The sequence below is a fragment of the Homo sapiens genome, chromosome 1 (genome assembly GCF_000001405.40).
Source record: "Homo sapiens chromosome 1, GRCh38.p14 Primary Assembly".
NCBI classification, from domain to species: Eukaryota; Metazoa; Chordata; class Mammalia; order Primates; family Hominidae; genus Homo; species Homo sapiens.
The window spans coordinates 119,413,320-119,429,267 of NC_000001.11; the positions used below are offsets into that span (position 1 = coordinate 119,413,320).

At 41.9% G+C, this 15,948-nt stretch overlaps 1 protein-coding gene across 2 annotated transcripts, besides 13 other annotated features; it reads left to right on the forward strand.

Moving 5' to 3' along the window:
• Positions 758-1,884: a promoter, noted in NCBI's record as "-1073 to +53 promoter fragment". NCBI's record gives the evidence for it as "EXISTENCE:reporter gene assay evidence [ECO:0000049][PMID:15928316]".
• Positions 758-2,797: a biological region, named in NCBI's record as "HSD3B2 5' regulatory region". NCBI's record gives its function as "regulatory_interactions: HSD3B2".
• Positions 928-947: a protein binding site, noted in NCBI's record as "FP1 site". NCBI's record gives its function as "positive regulation of promoter activity" and the evidence as "EXISTENCE:protein binding evidence [ECO:0000024][PMID:14671206]".
• Positions 1,308-2,025: a promoter, noted in NCBI's record as "-583 to +193 promoter fragment". NCBI's record gives the evidence for it as "EXISTENCE:reporter gene assay evidence [ECO:0000049][PMID:15291746]".
• Positions 1,502-1,521: a protein binding site, noted in NCBI's record as "FP2 site". NCBI's record gives its function as "important for promoter activity" and the evidence as "EXISTENCE:protein binding evidence [ECO:0000024][PMID:14671206]".
• Positions 1,598-2,797: an enhancer, noted in NCBI's record as "CDK7 strongly-dependent group 2 enhancer chr1:119957540-119958739 (GRCh37/hg19 assembly coordinates)". NCBI's record gives its function as "activates an origin of replication core promoter dependent on BRD2, BRD4, P300/CBP, MED14 and CDK7 cofactors, with strong dependence on CDK7, by STARR-seq in HCT116 cells {active_cell/tissue: HCT116}" and the evidence as "EXISTENCE:reporter gene assay evidence [ECO:0000049][PMID:35650434]".
• HSD3B2 (hydroxy-delta-5-steroid dehydrogenase, 3 beta- and steroid delta-isomerase 2) lies at positions 1,612-9,715 on the forward strand. 2 transcript variants are annotated; one of them, NM_001166120.2, is made up of 4 exons: positions 1,612-1,771; positions 2,012-2,242; positions 6,099-6,263; positions 8,490-9,715. In NM_001166120.2, the coding sequence occupies exons 2-4, from the start codon at positions 2,101-2,103 to the stop codon at positions 9,299-9,301; spliced, it is 1,119 nt and encodes a 372-aa protein (NP_001159592.1). In that variant the 5' UTR covers positions 1,612-1,771; positions 2,012-2,100; the 3' UTR covers positions 9,302-9,715. The 2 variants fall into 2 exon arrangements, with proteins under 2 accessions (NP_001159592.1, NP_000189.1); NM_000198.4 differs by lacking the exon at positions 1,612-1,771 and adding an exon at positions 1,831-1,883.
• Positions 1,626-1,643: a protein binding site, noted in NCBI's record as "-196 GATA site". NCBI's record gives its function as "positive regulation of promoter activity" and the evidence as "EXISTENCE:protein binding evidence [ECO:0000024][PMID:15928316]".
• Positions 1,693-1,706: a protein binding site, noted in NCBI's record as "FXRE". NCBI's record gives its function as "positive regulation of promoter activity" and the evidence as "EXISTENCE:protein binding evidence [ECO:0000024][PMID:19059462]".
• Positions 1,693-1,712: a protein binding site, noted in NCBI's record as "NBRE". NCBI's record gives its function as "mediates induction of transcription by cyclic AMP" and the evidence as "EXISTENCE:protein binding evidence [ECO:0000024][PMID:15498889]".
• Positions 1,703-1,732: a protein binding site, noted in NCBI's record as "Stat5 probe". NCBI's record gives its function as "positive regulation of promoter activity" and the evidence as "EXISTENCE:protein binding evidence [ECO:0000024][PMID:10406460]".
• Positions 1,762-1,780: a protein binding site, noted in NCBI's record as "SF-1/Ad4BP site; -60 element". NCBI's record gives the evidence for it as "EXISTENCE:protein binding evidence [ECO:0000024][PMID:9065466, PMID:15498889]".
• Positions 1,939-1,974: a protein binding site, noted in NCBI's record as "3beta2S probe". NCBI's record gives the evidence for it as "EXISTENCE:protein binding evidence [ECO:0000024][PMID:15291746]".
• Positions 1,978-2,006: a protein binding site, noted in NCBI's record as "+147 to +175 site". NCBI's record gives the evidence for it as "EXISTENCE:protein binding evidence [ECO:0000024][PMID:15291746]".

A 15,948-nucleotide genomic window follows, 5' to 3' on the forward strand; every position in this document is an offset into this window, starting at 1 on the left:
TACACCTTGCATCACAGGACCAACCTTTCCTAGGCAAGTGGGTTTGAAGCATTGGCAGCCAGGTTCCAAGTAGAAGGTGAATGTCTACACACAGGAGAAAGGCAAGACCCAGAATGGGGAGTCAAGCTAAATCATTTGTAGAGTATGACTTCCAACAACTTCAGAAAGCATTCTTTTGAAGTGCTTATGGCATTTCCACCAACATAGACCATAGGCTGGACCATAAAACAAATCTCAATATATATCAAAGAATCAAAATCATACAGAGTATATGCTCTGGCCACAATAATATTTAATTAGAAATACATAACAATAAGAAAATCCCCAGTTTTAGAAAACATGCAACATGCTTCTCAATAACACTTGGGTCAAAGAAGACATCACAAGAAAAAATTCAAAACGTCAGTAACTGAATAATGATAACCCAATGCATCAAAATGTTGGATACAGCTAACATAGTGTTTAGAGAGAAATTTACAACTTTAAATGCCTATGGTGGAAATGAGCAAAGAAGTAAAGTCAATTATCTATGCTTTTATCATAAGAACCCTGAAAAAGAAGAGTAAAATAAACCCAAAGTTAATAAACATTTAAGCCAATAATAAAAATAATGAAAATCATGAAATAGAAAAATGAACAAACAATAGAGACAATCAGTGGTCAATTTTTCTGTACTCCATGAACAAAACTTCAGTTCAGAATGATTTTATATTTAAATATATATCCAGAATCACAAAGATCTTAGAAGAAAAAATTAGGAAAATATAGGAATAAAGTGGGAACTCTGTGGGAATAAAAATCAGAAAGTAATTGCCTACCAGGTAAACTCGGGGGAGGGCAGGCAATTGACTAAGAACAGGCAGATAAAACTTTCTGGAGTGAAGGAAATGGTGGTCTTCTTTTCGTTGGTACTTACATGGACATATATAACTGTCAAGGTTCATTGACAATGAACACTTAAGTGTACACTGAACGCTTAAGATCTGGGCCTTGTAATGCCCAGATTACATCTACTTAAAAAAACTACATCTCTATTTTTTTAAGTAGAGAAAAGTGTCTTGGGGAGTTTATGGCAGTGATGTTTGGGCAGACTGGGGCATAGGTTTCAGAAGCATTCATAGCATCTTCAGTTCAACAATTTGCTAAGAATGGTTTTGCAGCCAAAAATGTAAGATGAGTGCAAATATCTATGATTAGAGTCATTGGGCATACAACTACAAATCCCCACACTTGTATTACAGGCCATATGATTAATTCGTTATCACTAGATACCTTTCCTTCAATGAGGTTCTTCCATTAGGAACCCAGAGCTCTCCAGGGAAAAATTGCAATTGAGGTTTTGGATATATTGGGTGGAAAAGAAAGTCACCTCACATAAAACTTAGTGATTGGAGCTGTCACCATTGAAAATTTCTAAACTTTGCAAGACAGCAGTGACGTTTCAAATGACACTCTCAGAGAGTTGATAATGGGCTAAAATAGATCTCCCTCCAGGTGGATTTACTGTACAAGGACAACATTTACATTGCACTTGGAGACTTCTCCCAGTTTGGTTTAAGTTCACAGATTGCAGATCCCAGACAGCTGGTATCAACTGACCAGTGTTCTGTTAAGGCTAAAGCCAAGACTCTTTATCACACTGTGGCCTTAAGATTGGATTTCTCTTCCTGTTCCTGGGAAGAATTAGAGATATAACCTAAAGGTCACTATTATTCTGAGAAAAGGGATTCTGGAGGAGGAGGGAGCAATGAGTATGTGGCAGGAGTTCAAGGTAATAAGGGCTGAGACACAAGCCACAGAGCATAAAGCTCCAGTCCTTCCTCCAGGGATGAGGCAGTAAGGACTTGGACTCCTCTGTCCAGCTTTTAACAATCTAAGTTACGGTTAGAGCTTTCTCCTTTTCTTTCAACTACTCCTGGCAGTTGTGGGGTCATGGAATTTTTGTAAAAAATGGGGTGGAGGAAAATAAGGCATCTGCTGAGTGTATAACCATTTTACCTCTTGTTTTTAGCCCTCTTCTGGGTCACGCTAGAATCAGATCTGCTCTCCAGCATCTTCTGTTTCCTGGCAAGTGTTTCCTGCTACTTTGGATTGGCCACGATGGGCTGGAGCTGCCTTGTGACAGGAGCAGGAGGGCTTCTGGGTCAGAGGATCGTCCGCCTGTTGGTGGAAGAGAAGGAACTGAAGGAGATCAGGGCCTTGGACAAGGCCTTCAGACCAGAATTGAGAGAGGAATTTTCTAGTAAGTAAACTTGAGTCATGGGTCTGTGGCTCCATCTTAAACTCTGCATGGGTGTGGGGAGGTTGACCTTGTCTAGCAAGTTAAGGAAAGTTGTAGCCAAATGAAAGCCAGTCACACATCTAAAGTCATCAGAAAGGAAATAGAATAAAATGGTATAGTGTGAAAGATACTGGATGGGGTGTCCAGAGACTGGATTCTGGCCCTGACGCAGAACTTGAGAGGCAGCCATGTCAGCCTCAAGGCCCCTTTTCTTCTCTTCTAGAGAGTCACACATGAGTTCTCCTTCTTGTCTACAACTCTTATGTTCTGAAGCTTTTTGTCTTGGCGATTGCTGTGCGACATTCACAAAGGACATCATTTACCTGGAGACCTCACCAGTGGGTCCTGCCTGTCTAGACTGCCCCAGGCTTCATTTCATTTTATAGCTTCCTTAGTATCTTTAGTGAGGGCAAAATAAAAGGAAGTGAAGGTACGGATGTGTGTGTAATTGTGTGTGTGTGTCAGACAGAGAAAGAAAATGAGGGGGAAAGAAGGTCAGAGACAGAGAATGAGAAAGACAGAGAATGAATGAGAAAGATAGTGTGAGGGAGAGCATCAGCAAGAGAGAGAGAGTGAAAGTGAGAGAGATCATCAGTGAGAGAGAGAGAAAGAGAGAAAGAGAGCATGCACAAGTGCACGGCACAGAGCAGAGACAGAGTAAAAGGCAGTATGAGGCCAACATGCCTCATTTATATTTCTCATATATAGCCTTTTTAAAAAAAAACCATTTGTATCTGTTGTTCAATACTCCAAATAAATTGACTGCAGAATTTGCTGTAGTAACTCTTTGTGCAAATAACCCTGTGAGGAAGGTAGAAAAGGGGTCACCTCCAACTGGACAATGAACCCATCAAGTTCCAGAAACATAAAGTTACTTGCCAAGAACAGCTGATTAATGTGTAGCAGAGCTCAGACCAGAGCTTCATTCCAGAAGCTTCATCACTTGACCCCCGGGCTAATCCTTGGTGGGTCTTCAGTCTCTCCCTTTGCCTCTCTGTGTGCCCCAAACCAATTCCATGTTTTCCTCCCAACCCAGGGGACTGGGGGAACTATGTATCTTCTTCATGCAGGTTCTGGCTGCCTAGAAGGTCCTGCCCTGTTCACACAGAAGCTCCCCTTGACACTCTCCTCTTCTTTCACTCTTCTCTGACCTCTTTAAATGTCCAATTTCCTCCACTCTCTGTTCTAATAGTGAACAGATATTAACACATGACTGATATTAAATGTTTGTAATCCTTATGTCTCAGCAATATTTACAATCTAACATCTGATACCAGGAAAAAGCAATGCTCAGTCTAGAGGAAGAGTTCTGCTATGGTGAAAATGCAGGGAGCATAATGGATGGGCAGGGCCTGTATGAAGATAAAAACAGAGAATCCTTTCAGTGTTCTTTCTGTGCCAGGCACTGTGCTAAAGGTTTTGCATGTGCTGACTCATTTACTTCCCATAACAACCCTATGAGATGGGTAATACTATTATCCTCCTTTTTTATAGATGAGGAGACAGACACAGAGAGGTTAATCAACTTGTCGAAGGTCCCAAGTTAGATTACGGCAAAGCTGGATTTGAATCCAGGCAGTCTAGTGCAGCTTCTGTGCTCTTAAGTAGTAGTTTGTCTAGCAGCTTCTCTGAGCCTCCCTCCAGCCCAACACACAACACAAAAGCAACTGAATTTAGTCTACATGAAACACTTGCCAAGTCCACAGTGCCTTGGAGAAGGAGGGAGCTAAGACTCCATCAAAAATTGCGCTTTTCTGGTCTCTCTAGATCCATGGAAACTCACCGGGGAAGAGTCATTTTCTATCGGCTTTGGACTTCTGCTATGAAATGGCAATTCCTTTGAGCCAGTCTGTCTAAAGTCGGCAGCAAAGGAGAAGCAGATGAAGGGAGTAGAAAAGGTAGAGGTGGAAATACAACCAGAGAAAATTCCACTCTCGGGCTGACACCCACCTCCTCCCCAGCAGCCTCTTCCCTGCCTCCACCATTCCAGGGCCTTCTTGGAGTTGCCTGACAGTGGGAAGGGGCTGGGAGTAGACAAAACAAGGCAGAGGCATCAGAAGAGCAAATGGTCCCACCTGTATCCCAGGAAGGAATTTCTCCAGCCTTGAATTTTTCATTCTGAATTTCGCTCTCACTGTTCTTTGGCCTTTGTGGGCATTTTCAGTTAAACTGGCTTATTCTTACTCTTTCTCAGAAAAGTTGATTCTAAACAGCTATTCCTGCACCTGGGGTACAGGGTACAAAAATGGCAGGTGGAATGGGCAGGTTTGAGCCTTCACTAGAAAATTGACTTTAGATCTGTCCCTTAACCTCTCTGAGCCTCAGTTTCCTCACCAATAAAGTGGGACTCAGAATACCTACCTCACGAGATAGCTGTAAAAGGAAATAAGCAAGCTGTGAGCCGTATGCAGATTATAAAGCACAAATGAGTGTAGAGTATTTATCTGAGCTCCATGTAGCATGGTGTTCATTTTGTGGGCTAATTCCAGGTGACAACTTTACCGGCAGCGTCACTACCTGTGGATTTCAGAGGAGCCTGAAGATATGGATGTTACATCCGCTGCCCTTGGCTAGACATTAGACAGCTGAGATGTTAGTTCATTGGTGGCTAACTCATTTTCAGCATTGCTATCTGCTTTTTATGATATCTGATAAAAGTTTCTCAATGAAATTAATCATTTAAGCCCATCTGCAATTCCTGAGTAATGGCTCCACTCTCCTCCCAGTTGCCCAAGCAGGAAACTGTAAGGGTGATTTTGTCTCCTTTTCCTCTCATCCCAGCTCCAGTAGGTACCAGGACCTTCAAGGTGAGGTCTGAAATTCAAACCTGGAGTGCATCTCTCCCCTCCTCTGCTTCCACTGCTGGACCCTGGTTCCAGTCCTCATCTAAACTTTGGCACAGACATTCTGATTAATCTCTTGATCACCTGGCTTTCTCATTTCCCCTATACCAGTCTGTTTTATATCCTCAAGCCAAGGTAAACTTCCTACGCCACAACTCTGCGTCTGTTTATCTTTTATTATTATTACTATTATTATTATTATTATTATTATTATTATTATTATTTTGAGACAGGGTCTTTCTCTGCCACTGAGGCTAGCATGCAGTGGCATGATCTCAATTCACTGCAACCTCCACCTCCCAGACTCCATCCTTCCTCCTGCTTCAGGTTTGTGATTAGCTGGGACTATAGGCACATACCATCACGCCCAGCTAATTTTTGTAATTTTAGTAAAGACAGGGTTTTGCCATGTTTTCCAGCCAGACCTCCACCTCCAGAAATCAAGTGATTCACCACCTCAGAGTCCCAAAGAGCTGGAATTACAGGAATGAGCCACTGCACCCGGCCTGTTTCTCTACTTATTCCAACATAAATAAGGGTTTTTCTTTGACATGGTGCTGGAGACCCAAAATCATAATTCTATACATGATTCCTCATCGCCTACAGAATTAAATTCAAACTTTCCCTCTTATACCCAACTCTCCACAATCACTCTATTCTCCATAAAAAATTTGGTGAGTCTCCCATGACTCTAGCAATGCTTATATTTCACGGATGTGTGACAATTCACTGCTCACATTACTTTTCTGGAATAAGATGGGGTAGAAACAGATGTTTGCTCTTTCCCAATAAACTGCTACACATGCTGATTTCTGTGCTTTTGTTTACTTGTTCCTTTTATGGAATGTAGTACACCCTCCACTCTAATACCCACACTCTAATCTCTTTGAGCACCTATGTAACATCGCCTTTATCAGAAAACTTCCCAGCCAGATCCAGAAATCTTTCCAATGACCTGACCTGTGTTCACACAGAGCTCCAGAACAGGACCAAGCTGACTGTACTTGAAGGAGACATTCTGGATGAGCCATTCCTGAAAAGAGCCTGCCAGGACGTCTCGGTCGTCATCCACACCGCCTGTATCATTGATGTCTTTGGTGTCACTCACAGAGAGTCCATCATGAATGTCAATGTGAAAGGTACAGTAGCCTGGGGAGGAGATAAAACAAGTTGGTTAAATGAGGATCAGAAAGAAGGACAAGAAAGGGAAGAGAAGTCACTCCATTGAACACCTGCTGAGCTCTTGGCCAAGTGCCTTTGCTGATCACTACTGACTGGGGAGTTCAAGGCTGGTAACCTCAGTTTTTTAGATGAGAAAACTAGGGCTGAGAGACAGCAAGTAACTTGTCCAAGGCCCCAAAAGTAAGTAAGTAAGTAGGAGAGTTAGACTTTAAACTCACTCCTGTGTGACTCCAAAGGCTGTGGAAGCTCTTTCTACTGTGGCCCCAATCAAAAGTCAACTAAACTCCAACTTCAAATTCACGATATCCAGCTACTCCTTGGCTCCCCGGGCCAGAATCAGACCTTCCAGGTGCCACCATAGTCATCATTTTGAACCTTGTGTGTAGGCTGATGAGAACATTCAGAGTCTTCCTGCCCACCTCAAAGAAGTCCTCTCAAGAGAACTAGCAAAGCTGGTTCACAGAGGTCTGTCAGGACAGAATTATCCAGCACATGCCTTCCCATAATATTTTCTTAACAAAAAGAGTTTCCCAGTGTCCAGAATACAATCTCTTCAGCTCACCACAGGGTCTACTATTACAGAGCCATTTCCTGCCAGGTGCCCAAAGTGCACCCTCATTTGATCCACATTTTTTAAAGGAATCTTGCCATGCAGTCTCACCCTCTGATTCCCAGAGCCCAGTCTCTTCAAAACACAGCTCCCCACTGCTGGCCTGACCCTCCACATTCAGACTACCCAAACTCCTTTTATAAAGCAACTAATTGCTTTTGAGTCTCCAGCACTGTCTAAAAAAACAAACAAAAAAAAAACCTTTCCAGTTTCTACATAGCCATACCCCTAAGTACCGCTATAGTTCAAGGAGTGTGCTAAGAGTGAATAGTTTTTTGTTTTAATTTTGACTTTCCACAGCTCCCAAAAACAAGGGATAAGAAATGACAAGGGGAGTGTTAGAGGCGTCTGTTTCTTAAAACCATTATCACTCCCGGGCTTAGAAAATACTTCACAATGATGGCCATTTCATGAGGCTGTCTCTCCAGAAACTCAAATTGCACAGAGACTTTAAAAGTGGCTAAGAATACAAAATAAGTAAATAAAAATGATCCTTTGCCTAGGAAATTCCTTCCTTCTTCAAGGGAAGACACTCCAGATACCTCCATGAGCTTTGCTTCCACACAGCTCAGGTGATGCTGACAGGTCTTCCCAGTGCAGGTGTTATCAGCAGAGGGCACACTCCCTCCCCAGTCCTCCACCAGGCTCCACAGGAAATGCCAGGGCAGGATTTAAAGGAAGGTTTATCACCCCCACTTTATATAACTGGGTAACAGAGTCATAGCCAGAATTGGAAGCAGCTTTTCCAGGGAACACACAATCAGGAAAGGAGTGTGGGTTTCCAGCATCTCCCCACAACCCACTGTTTGCTCGATGACTCCAGGGATGGTCTTTGTGACAAAGTTTTATTAATCCATTGCAAAATGAGAAAAATACCAGCAATTCTATGTATATCTAAGAGTGTATATTGCCTATATTCAACTGTGAATTTGTGTGTGTAACACAAATTCTTCCACTGCCCTTTCTTGCCTAAGGACTGATTGGGACTGTTCATATTCTCAGAGTATAGCCTCCTGATTTTTTAGATTTTAAATGATCTGTCTTTAATTGTATTGATGACAAATCATACTTTTTCAATATCCTTACTTGGCAAAAAATAAAGTGATTACCCTAGGTCCTTTTCCAAAATTAAAGTGTGTGTGTATATATATATATGTATATATATATGTATATATATATATGTATATATATGTATATATATATATGTATATATATATGTATATATATATGTATATATATATGTATATATATATTTTATAATATATATATATATATACACACACGTATACATACACACACACACACACACACCACACACAAACATAGGTCCATGAAACCCAAAAGTCTAGAAATTCTTGCTTTCTAGAACCCAAATGTCAGTTTCTTTTTATTTTTGTGTTTTTCCTACGGCTGTATCATGACCCAATCTCAGTCAGAGCCACAGAAGAATGCACCCTGAGTCTGTTATAACCACTGCACTTGGGAGTGGGGAGTGGGGCACATGGATCTGTGCATGTGGTTGCAGCTCCTTTGGGATATTTCCTGACACTGTCATCATGCTCTTCGTGGGCAGGTACCCAGCTACTGTTGGAGGCCTGTGTCCAAGCCAGTGTGCCAGTCTTCATCTACACCAGTAGCATAGAGGTAGCCGGGCCCAACTCCTACAAGGAAATCATCCAGAACGGCCACGAAGAAGAGCCTCTGGAAAACACATGGCCCACTCCATACCCGTACAGCAAAAAGCTTGCTGAGAAGGCTGTGCTGGCGGCTAATGGGTGGAATCTAAAAAATGGTGATACCTTGTACACTTGTGCGTTAAGACCCACATATATCTATGGGGAAGGAGGCCCATTCCTTTCTGCCAGTATAAATGAGGCCCTGAACAACAATGGGATCCTGTCAAGTGTTGGAAAGTTCTCTACAGTCAACCCAGTCTATGTTGGCAACGTGGCCTGGGCCCACATTCTGGCCTTGAGGGCTCTGCGGGACCCCAAGAAGGCCCCAAGTGTCCGAGGTCAATTCTATTACATCTCAGATGACACGCCTCACCAAAGCTATGATAACCTTAATTACATCCTGAGCAAAGAGTTTGGCCTCCGCCTTGATTCCAGATGGAGCCTTCCTTTAACCCTGATGTACTGGATTGGCTTCCTGCTGGAAGTAGTGAGCTTCCTACTCAGCCCAATTTACTCCTATCAACCCCCCTTCAACCGCCACACAGTCACATTATCAAATAGTGTGTTCACCTTCTCTTACAAGAAGGCTCAGCGAGATCTGGCGTATAAGCCACTCTACAGCTGGGAGGAAGCCAAGCAGAAAACCGTGGAGTGGGTTGGTTCCCTTGTGGACCGGCACAAGGAGACCCTGAAGTCCAAGACTCAGTGATTTAAGGATGACAGAGATGTGCATGTGGGTATTGTTAGGAAATGTCATCAAACTCCACCCACCTGGCTTCATACAGAAGGCAACAGGGGCACAAGCCCAGGTCCTGCTGCCTCTCTTTCACACAATGCCCAACTTACTGTCTTCTTCATGTCATCAAAATCTGCACAGTCACTGGCCCAACCAGAACTTTCTGTCCTAATCATACACCAGAAGACAAACAATATGATTTGCTGTTACCAAATCTCAGTGGCTGATTCTGAACAATTGTGGTCTCTCTTAACTTGAGGTTCTCTTTTGACTAATAGAGCTCCATTTCCCCTCTTAAATGAGAAAGCATTTCTTTTCTCTTTAATCTCCTATTCCTTCACACAGTTCAACATAAAGAGCAATAAATGTTTTAATGCTTAACATGGAGAGAAGCATGGTTTCTGTTAATACATACTTTCATCCTTTTCCTTTCATTTCCAACTATCACCATCTCCAACTTAGAAGAGTAGCATGAAACCAGGGTTGGGGGGTGGGCAGAGTAGTAGGAGGTACAGAAAGGGCAGATGAATACTGAATAAGCTCTACTATGTTTTAGGCATGTATGAAATGAACTACATATGACATATATTATCTCATTTAATACTCATCAGAAACCTGTCAATTGAGGAAAATGACAAGACACGTCTCAATCATTTTAGGAGATTCACTTGAAGATGTGCCCAGGAGACAGGCCTATGCCTTTCTCCAAAGATGATTTTGAGGGCTCCAATTCAAAGGAGGGAAAGAGAGGGATATTGAGAAGCACACAGTTTTTATGTAACGGGATGGTAGGAAAAAAATAGTCATTCATGCCTTTGTCTGGCTCAGTGAATCTGCATTTTTTACATAAGATGACATAAACAGTAGGGGCAGAGGGAAATGCAGATTCCCTGCATTTTACATAAAATAACAGACAAAATGGGGTAGGGGAAAAATCAGATAGGCATTTGTGTCTGGGGTAACTGCACCGGTAGTGATAAGCTATCAATTTGCATTGCCGTGGTGAAGTTTTAACAGCTCACTAGGAAATTCCTTGTGGGCAAAATATGGGGGAGGCATGTAGCTTTTCATCTTGTAGCCATCTTGTTTAGGCACCAAAAGGGGGGAGGCAGGTTTGCCTGACCCAGTTCCCAGCTTGATTTTTCCCTTTGGCTAAATGAGATTGGGGCCCCATAATTTAATTTTTTTCACGTTTTCCCCCTTTTTTTCTCTAAACTCTTTTGAAGTACTGCATTTTGAAAGAAATATGCATTCCTGGCCTCTGGTTGCTTTTTCTTTTTTTTTTTTTTTGCTGGTTTCTCATGGCTAGGATGGTTTATTCCTAGAAGTTCAGGTCCCACATCACTAGGAAGGCTCATTCCTGGGAGGTTATGTCTCACCTTGCTAGGAAGGCTTATTCCTAGGAAATCTTGTCCCATGAAGAAAAAAAAAAAATGGAGGGGTGGGGTGGAAGAAGGGAAAATGAGAGGAAACCAGAAAGAGAGAGAGAGAGAGAGAAAAGAAAATATATAGGGACCTAGGCCAGATTTATAGCAACAAAAGGAAAGCAAACCTGGAAGCTGGGTGAGGGTATATTACTGCCTCCTCAATTAGAGCAATTCTTTGGGCCTTTTAGTTGCACGTTGACTTACATGCAAGCACATACCATAACAACATTGTAAGCAAAAACAGGATGGAACACAAATTATTACTATTATTCCTATTATAAACAATAGTTTCTACCACCATGTTCCCCAGGATCCAAGCCAACCACTCAACCAATCGATTAGTGAGGGTTTTGGATCTGACAGGTTGGTTATCTGGGTTTTCATAGCAGTCATATGTTGCATTATGTTCTTTGATTCATCTGGAACATACACACAACATTTAGTTTTATGATGGCACAGGTCCCCTCTTGTGCTGTCATGAGTATCTAAAGCCATATGATTTTGCAGCACAGCTTTCCTCATAAGCATAACCTCATTGTTTAGCAAGGGGATACTCATGCGGCTATCATTCAGGGCCTTTTGGGTGTAATTCGTTAAGGCCTCTATATGCCATATAACATCTTCAATACCTATCTGTGGTACAAAGATTGAAGCTAAATGATCATGCCATTGGAATACTGAACACATCCAATAAGAGTGTAAATGAAAAAGGTTTGCTGGTTTTGGCAGGGTCTGAATTACTTGTCCTTGTGCCCAAGCATAACCTAGGGAACATCATCCTAACCACCTTGGAGGTAACCATGGCCATAAGGTAGTGCCACATAGCCAATATGTCCCATTTGGAGCTAGCCAATAAATATCTGGTTGCTGCACCCAATTGTTGGCATGCCAGTCAGTGTCTTATAATATGATAATGTGGTCTCAATGTTCTCCAGGTATCCACCCCACATCTCTCATACTGTTTTGCTAAGTTGGCCAAAGAATGGGTGAGCCAGATAAATCCATCCCAAATTTGTATTATTCCATTCTGAAAATGGGTCATTGTTTGAGGCATGGTTACCACCTTCTCTTTTACTTGGGGAGATGCTAAAGTGAGAGCAAATGAGCTGGTCTTTTCCATTGAAAAACTTTTGCTATGTCCCTTGTTCTTAAGAGTGTTTTTAATGGGCCAACTATATATATTGTCTTTTGTTATGCCAGCACTAAGAATACCAGACCGTTTCTGTGATGTAATACATTTTTGGTATTCTATCCAGTCCTGACCTTGGAAGAAGGATACTCACCATGGCAGGCCACAGCCACTGGAGATAGGCATGAGCCCACATATCCAGCAGGTGTCCTTTTGTAATCTGTCTGCATAATCCTGAGCCTATTGCAGAAACAGATTTGTTTCATGGGCATCAGTGGCAAGAAGATGTAGGGATATATAATTAATAATAGCAAGGTTGTGAAATTCATTTTAGTTACTAACAGATGTTAAATTAGACAAAGCAAGTGCCCTGTTCTGTATAAGACAGCAGTTGCCAGTATATCTAGGACAATCATTGTAATGGTTATTGTACAATGAACATAGACATTTCTTTGTATACAGGCCTGGTCCTGTATCTTGGGTTTAAGCAGTCCACAATAGCATAGCTGTCATCTGCTTCTAATCCTGGGTTAAAAGTCGATGTTTAGTGAACTTGAGGTGAAGGTCTTTGGTGGAAGTTACAGCCAGCTCAGGAGATTGTGACTTTTTAAGATGAGTGATGTGAATCCAAGAGTCTATACCCTCTAATTCTGTGGCACATGGATTAGTCAATAGTGCCCGGTATGGGCCCTTCCATCGGGGTTGAAGGGAATTCTTTATTAGATGTCTTTTCCAATAGACAAAATTTCTGGGCTGCAGATTGTGACCAGGTGCCTTATCTTCAGGGAGCACACTATGAAAGGAATTTCTTACCAAATCTTGACTTTTTTAAGGTGATAAAAAAAGTCGCTCACAATATTGCAGTATATCTCCCTTGAGAAAAGTTGGATTTGTTATGTTTGTTCCCATATACATGGGCCTTCCCACTATAATTTCATAAGGGGACAATTGATGTTTTCCAAAAGGGGTTGATCAGAGTGTAAGCAGCACTAGGGTGAGTGCTTCGAATGAGGGGAGGGAAAATGCCTCTGTGAACTTAGCCAATTGTGTTTTAATTATTCCATTGGTTCTCTCCACCAGGCCTGAGGATTGGGGATGGTAGGCACAATGGAAATGCTGAGATATGGGCCAAATTTTTCAAATATTTTGAATAACCTGGCCAGTAAAGTGAGTTCCCCTGTCATTGTGAAGTTCACAGGGGACTCCCCACAGTGGGATACTTTTTTCTAGTAGGATTTTTCCAACCGCCATAGCTGTTGCTTGCCTACAGGGAAAAGGTTCAACCCAATGGGAAAACATGTAGACTATTACTAAAACATACCTGTAAACTTGAGATGATGGCAGCTGGATAAAATCAAGGTGCCATACTTCAAGAGGTCCAATCAGAAAGGAAAAATGACCCTGGGCCCCATGGAGGGGCTTTCGTGGGTTATATTTGGGACAAATAACATAACAAGAGTAAACTTTTTGTGCCACTGTGAAGGATGGTTTCCAGTAATACTGTTAACACCAGGATATTACTTTATCTGGATTCCAATGGCTTAGATTATGAACATATTCCACAAGGGGCACCTGACATCCAATTAGAATAACAGGTTTATTATTAGGTCCACTTCATATTTCAGTTTTGGGAGCCAAGTATTTCCCTGCCTGTTTCCAAGTAGATTTCCCTTTTGTAGGAGCTCTGGGTTTCTTTCAACATGTTTCTAAGTGTTTTTGGGTTTTATGGCCATTTCTTGTACTGGGGCTGGTGGCTTGGATGCTGCTCTTTTAGCTGTAGTGTCAGCCAGCTGGTTACCTGACTTTCTATGGTGTCTAATTTTGAGTGACCTGGGATTTTTATAATTGCCAAACGTTTTGGTTTCAAAATAGCTTCTAACAGCTCTCATAATTGGTGTCCATTTTTTATGGATTTTCCTGAGGAGGTTAAATATCCTGTCTCTTTCCATAGCATCCCAAAGTCATGAGCAACCCAAAAGCATAGTGGCTCTCAGTGTAAATGGCAAAAGCCTTGTCTTTTGACAATTGACAAGCTTGGATCAGGAAAATCAATTCGGCCACTTGAGCTGATCTGGCTTGGGGAAGAAGACTGGCTTTAGTTACCTCTGGTACAGAAACCACAGCATATCCTGCTCTAAAATTTCCTTCCTCTCCTCTTAAATAACACCCATCTGTGTATGATTCTATCTCAGTATTATCCAGTGGCGTCTCTTATAGGTCTGTCCTGGGGGTGAGAAGTTGGTCAGTCATCAGAACATAGTCATGAGGGGTTTCCTTGGTAGGGCCTGTCAAGGGAGTGGCTGCATTAAGATTATTACAGCGGGAAATAGTAATATTGGGAAATGATAAAAGCAAAATTTCATAAGAGGCTAACAAGTTGACAGATGCTGAGTATGATGAGAGTTTAGAAGGGTCTTAAGAGAATGTGGCACAAAAATGGTAAGGGGGGAACCCATAATTATTTCTTCAACAGACTTGTACAGAAGGGCCATGGCTACTATTGCTCTCACACAGGAGGCAGCCCTTAACCCACAGGGTCCAGGTGTTGGCTATAGTAGGCTATAGGTCTCCGATGATCACCATGTTTCTGGATCAGTATCCTGCATGCAGTACCTCCAGTTTCATGCACAAAAAGGGAGAAAGCCAATAGTTTGAGTGTCCTAATGCTGAGGCATTAGTTAGAATTTCCTTTATTTGTTGTACAGCTGCTTGTCCCTCTGAAGTCCACATGATGGGATCAGGTTGTTCATTTTTTAGGTATGAATACAGAGGTTGAGCCATAAGGGAGAAAATTGGTATCCAGTTTCTACAACAGCCTGGCAGGCCCAAAAATCCTCTATGTTGTTTCATAGTGATGGGCACTGGGAAAGCTGAAATTCCTCTCACTCTGTCAGGGTGAATACTCAGTCCTCTGACTGAGATAATATGCCCCAAACACTTAACTTGTGGTAAGCATACCTGAAATTTGTCTTTGGACACGATGTGTCCTTTGGTGGCTGTTTGAGTAAATACAGACTATCTTCCTGGGAGGAAGATAGTGTGCCTGAACAAAGGAGAAAGTCTTCCATGTACTGGATGAATGTTGAGCCCTGGGGAAAAATTAAATCCTCTAAATCAGCTTTTAATATTTGGGAAAAGTAAGTGAGACTTTCTGTATACGCTTCGGGCATTACAGTCCACATATATTGCCATTCTTTCCAAGTAAAGGCAAACAAATACTGGCTGTCTGGATCTACGGGAATACTAAAAAAGGGCACCGCAGAAATCCACAACTGAGAAATACTGGCTGGTAGTGGCTATGGCTGATAGAAGGGTAAGTGGTGTGGGGACTACTTAGTGCCTGGGTATTACAATATTGTTAATTGCTCTCAAGTCATGCACAAATCTTCATCCTCTCCCGCTTGGATTTTTTACAGGAAATATAGGGCTGTTGCAGGGGCTTATGCAGGGAATAATGAGCCTTTTTTTTTTTCAGATAATCTTGTATAATAGGGGCAATTCTGTCTATGGCTTCCTGTCATAGAGGTTATTGTTTAAAGTTGGGTAAGGGTTTCTTTGGGTTTCTAAATAAGGTGAGATTTACCAGAGAAATAGTCGTGCCTGTGTCAAGGCAGTTTTAACCTCATAGTTTATTATTATATTAATCTCTCCCAATTTGTTTGTCAGGGTAGAATACTTAAAGAGGTGAAACCCCTATATTTCCTCAGAGAATCCCTAGTCTTCCCGAGTTGCATTCTCTGGCCTTTTCTTTTGCTTCGGCCTAAGGCAATCCCTCTTGAGGTGTCCCAGTCTTTTACAGTAGTAACAGACTGGGAGGAAAGAGTTCTCAGACTGAGGGAGCTTAAAATCTTTCTGGGACTGACAGGTTTGAGAAGTTAATTGCTTTAGCTGTAAATGCATAACTCAGGCCATCTTCTTTTTTTCTTCTTTATCATAATGCGAGATAACTGGTCAGATAAGTTAACTAGTTCATTAGTTCTGGCTGTGGCCCAATTTGTCATGTGGTGTTTTACAAGGGTGGCTGAATCATCATCTAGTCTGTTTAAGAAATTTGCATTTAGTAA

What these genes read in the sequence shown, in the direction of transcription:
- HSD3B2 (NM_001166120.2), top strand. Translation starts at nt 2,101, where the DNA reads ATGGGCTGGAGCTGCCTTGTGACAGGAGCAGGAGGGCTTCTGGGTCAG. An exon ending in ATTGAGAGAGGAATTTTCTA is followed by an intron (nt 2,243 to 6,098) that starts GTAAGTAAACTT and finishes GTGTTCACACAG; the next exon opens with AGCTCCAGAACAGGACCAAG. An exon ending in CATGAATGTCAATGTGAAAG is followed by an intron (nt 6,264 to 8,489) that starts GTACAGTAGCCT and finishes CTTCGTGGGCAG; the next exon opens with GTACCCAGCTACTGTTGGAG.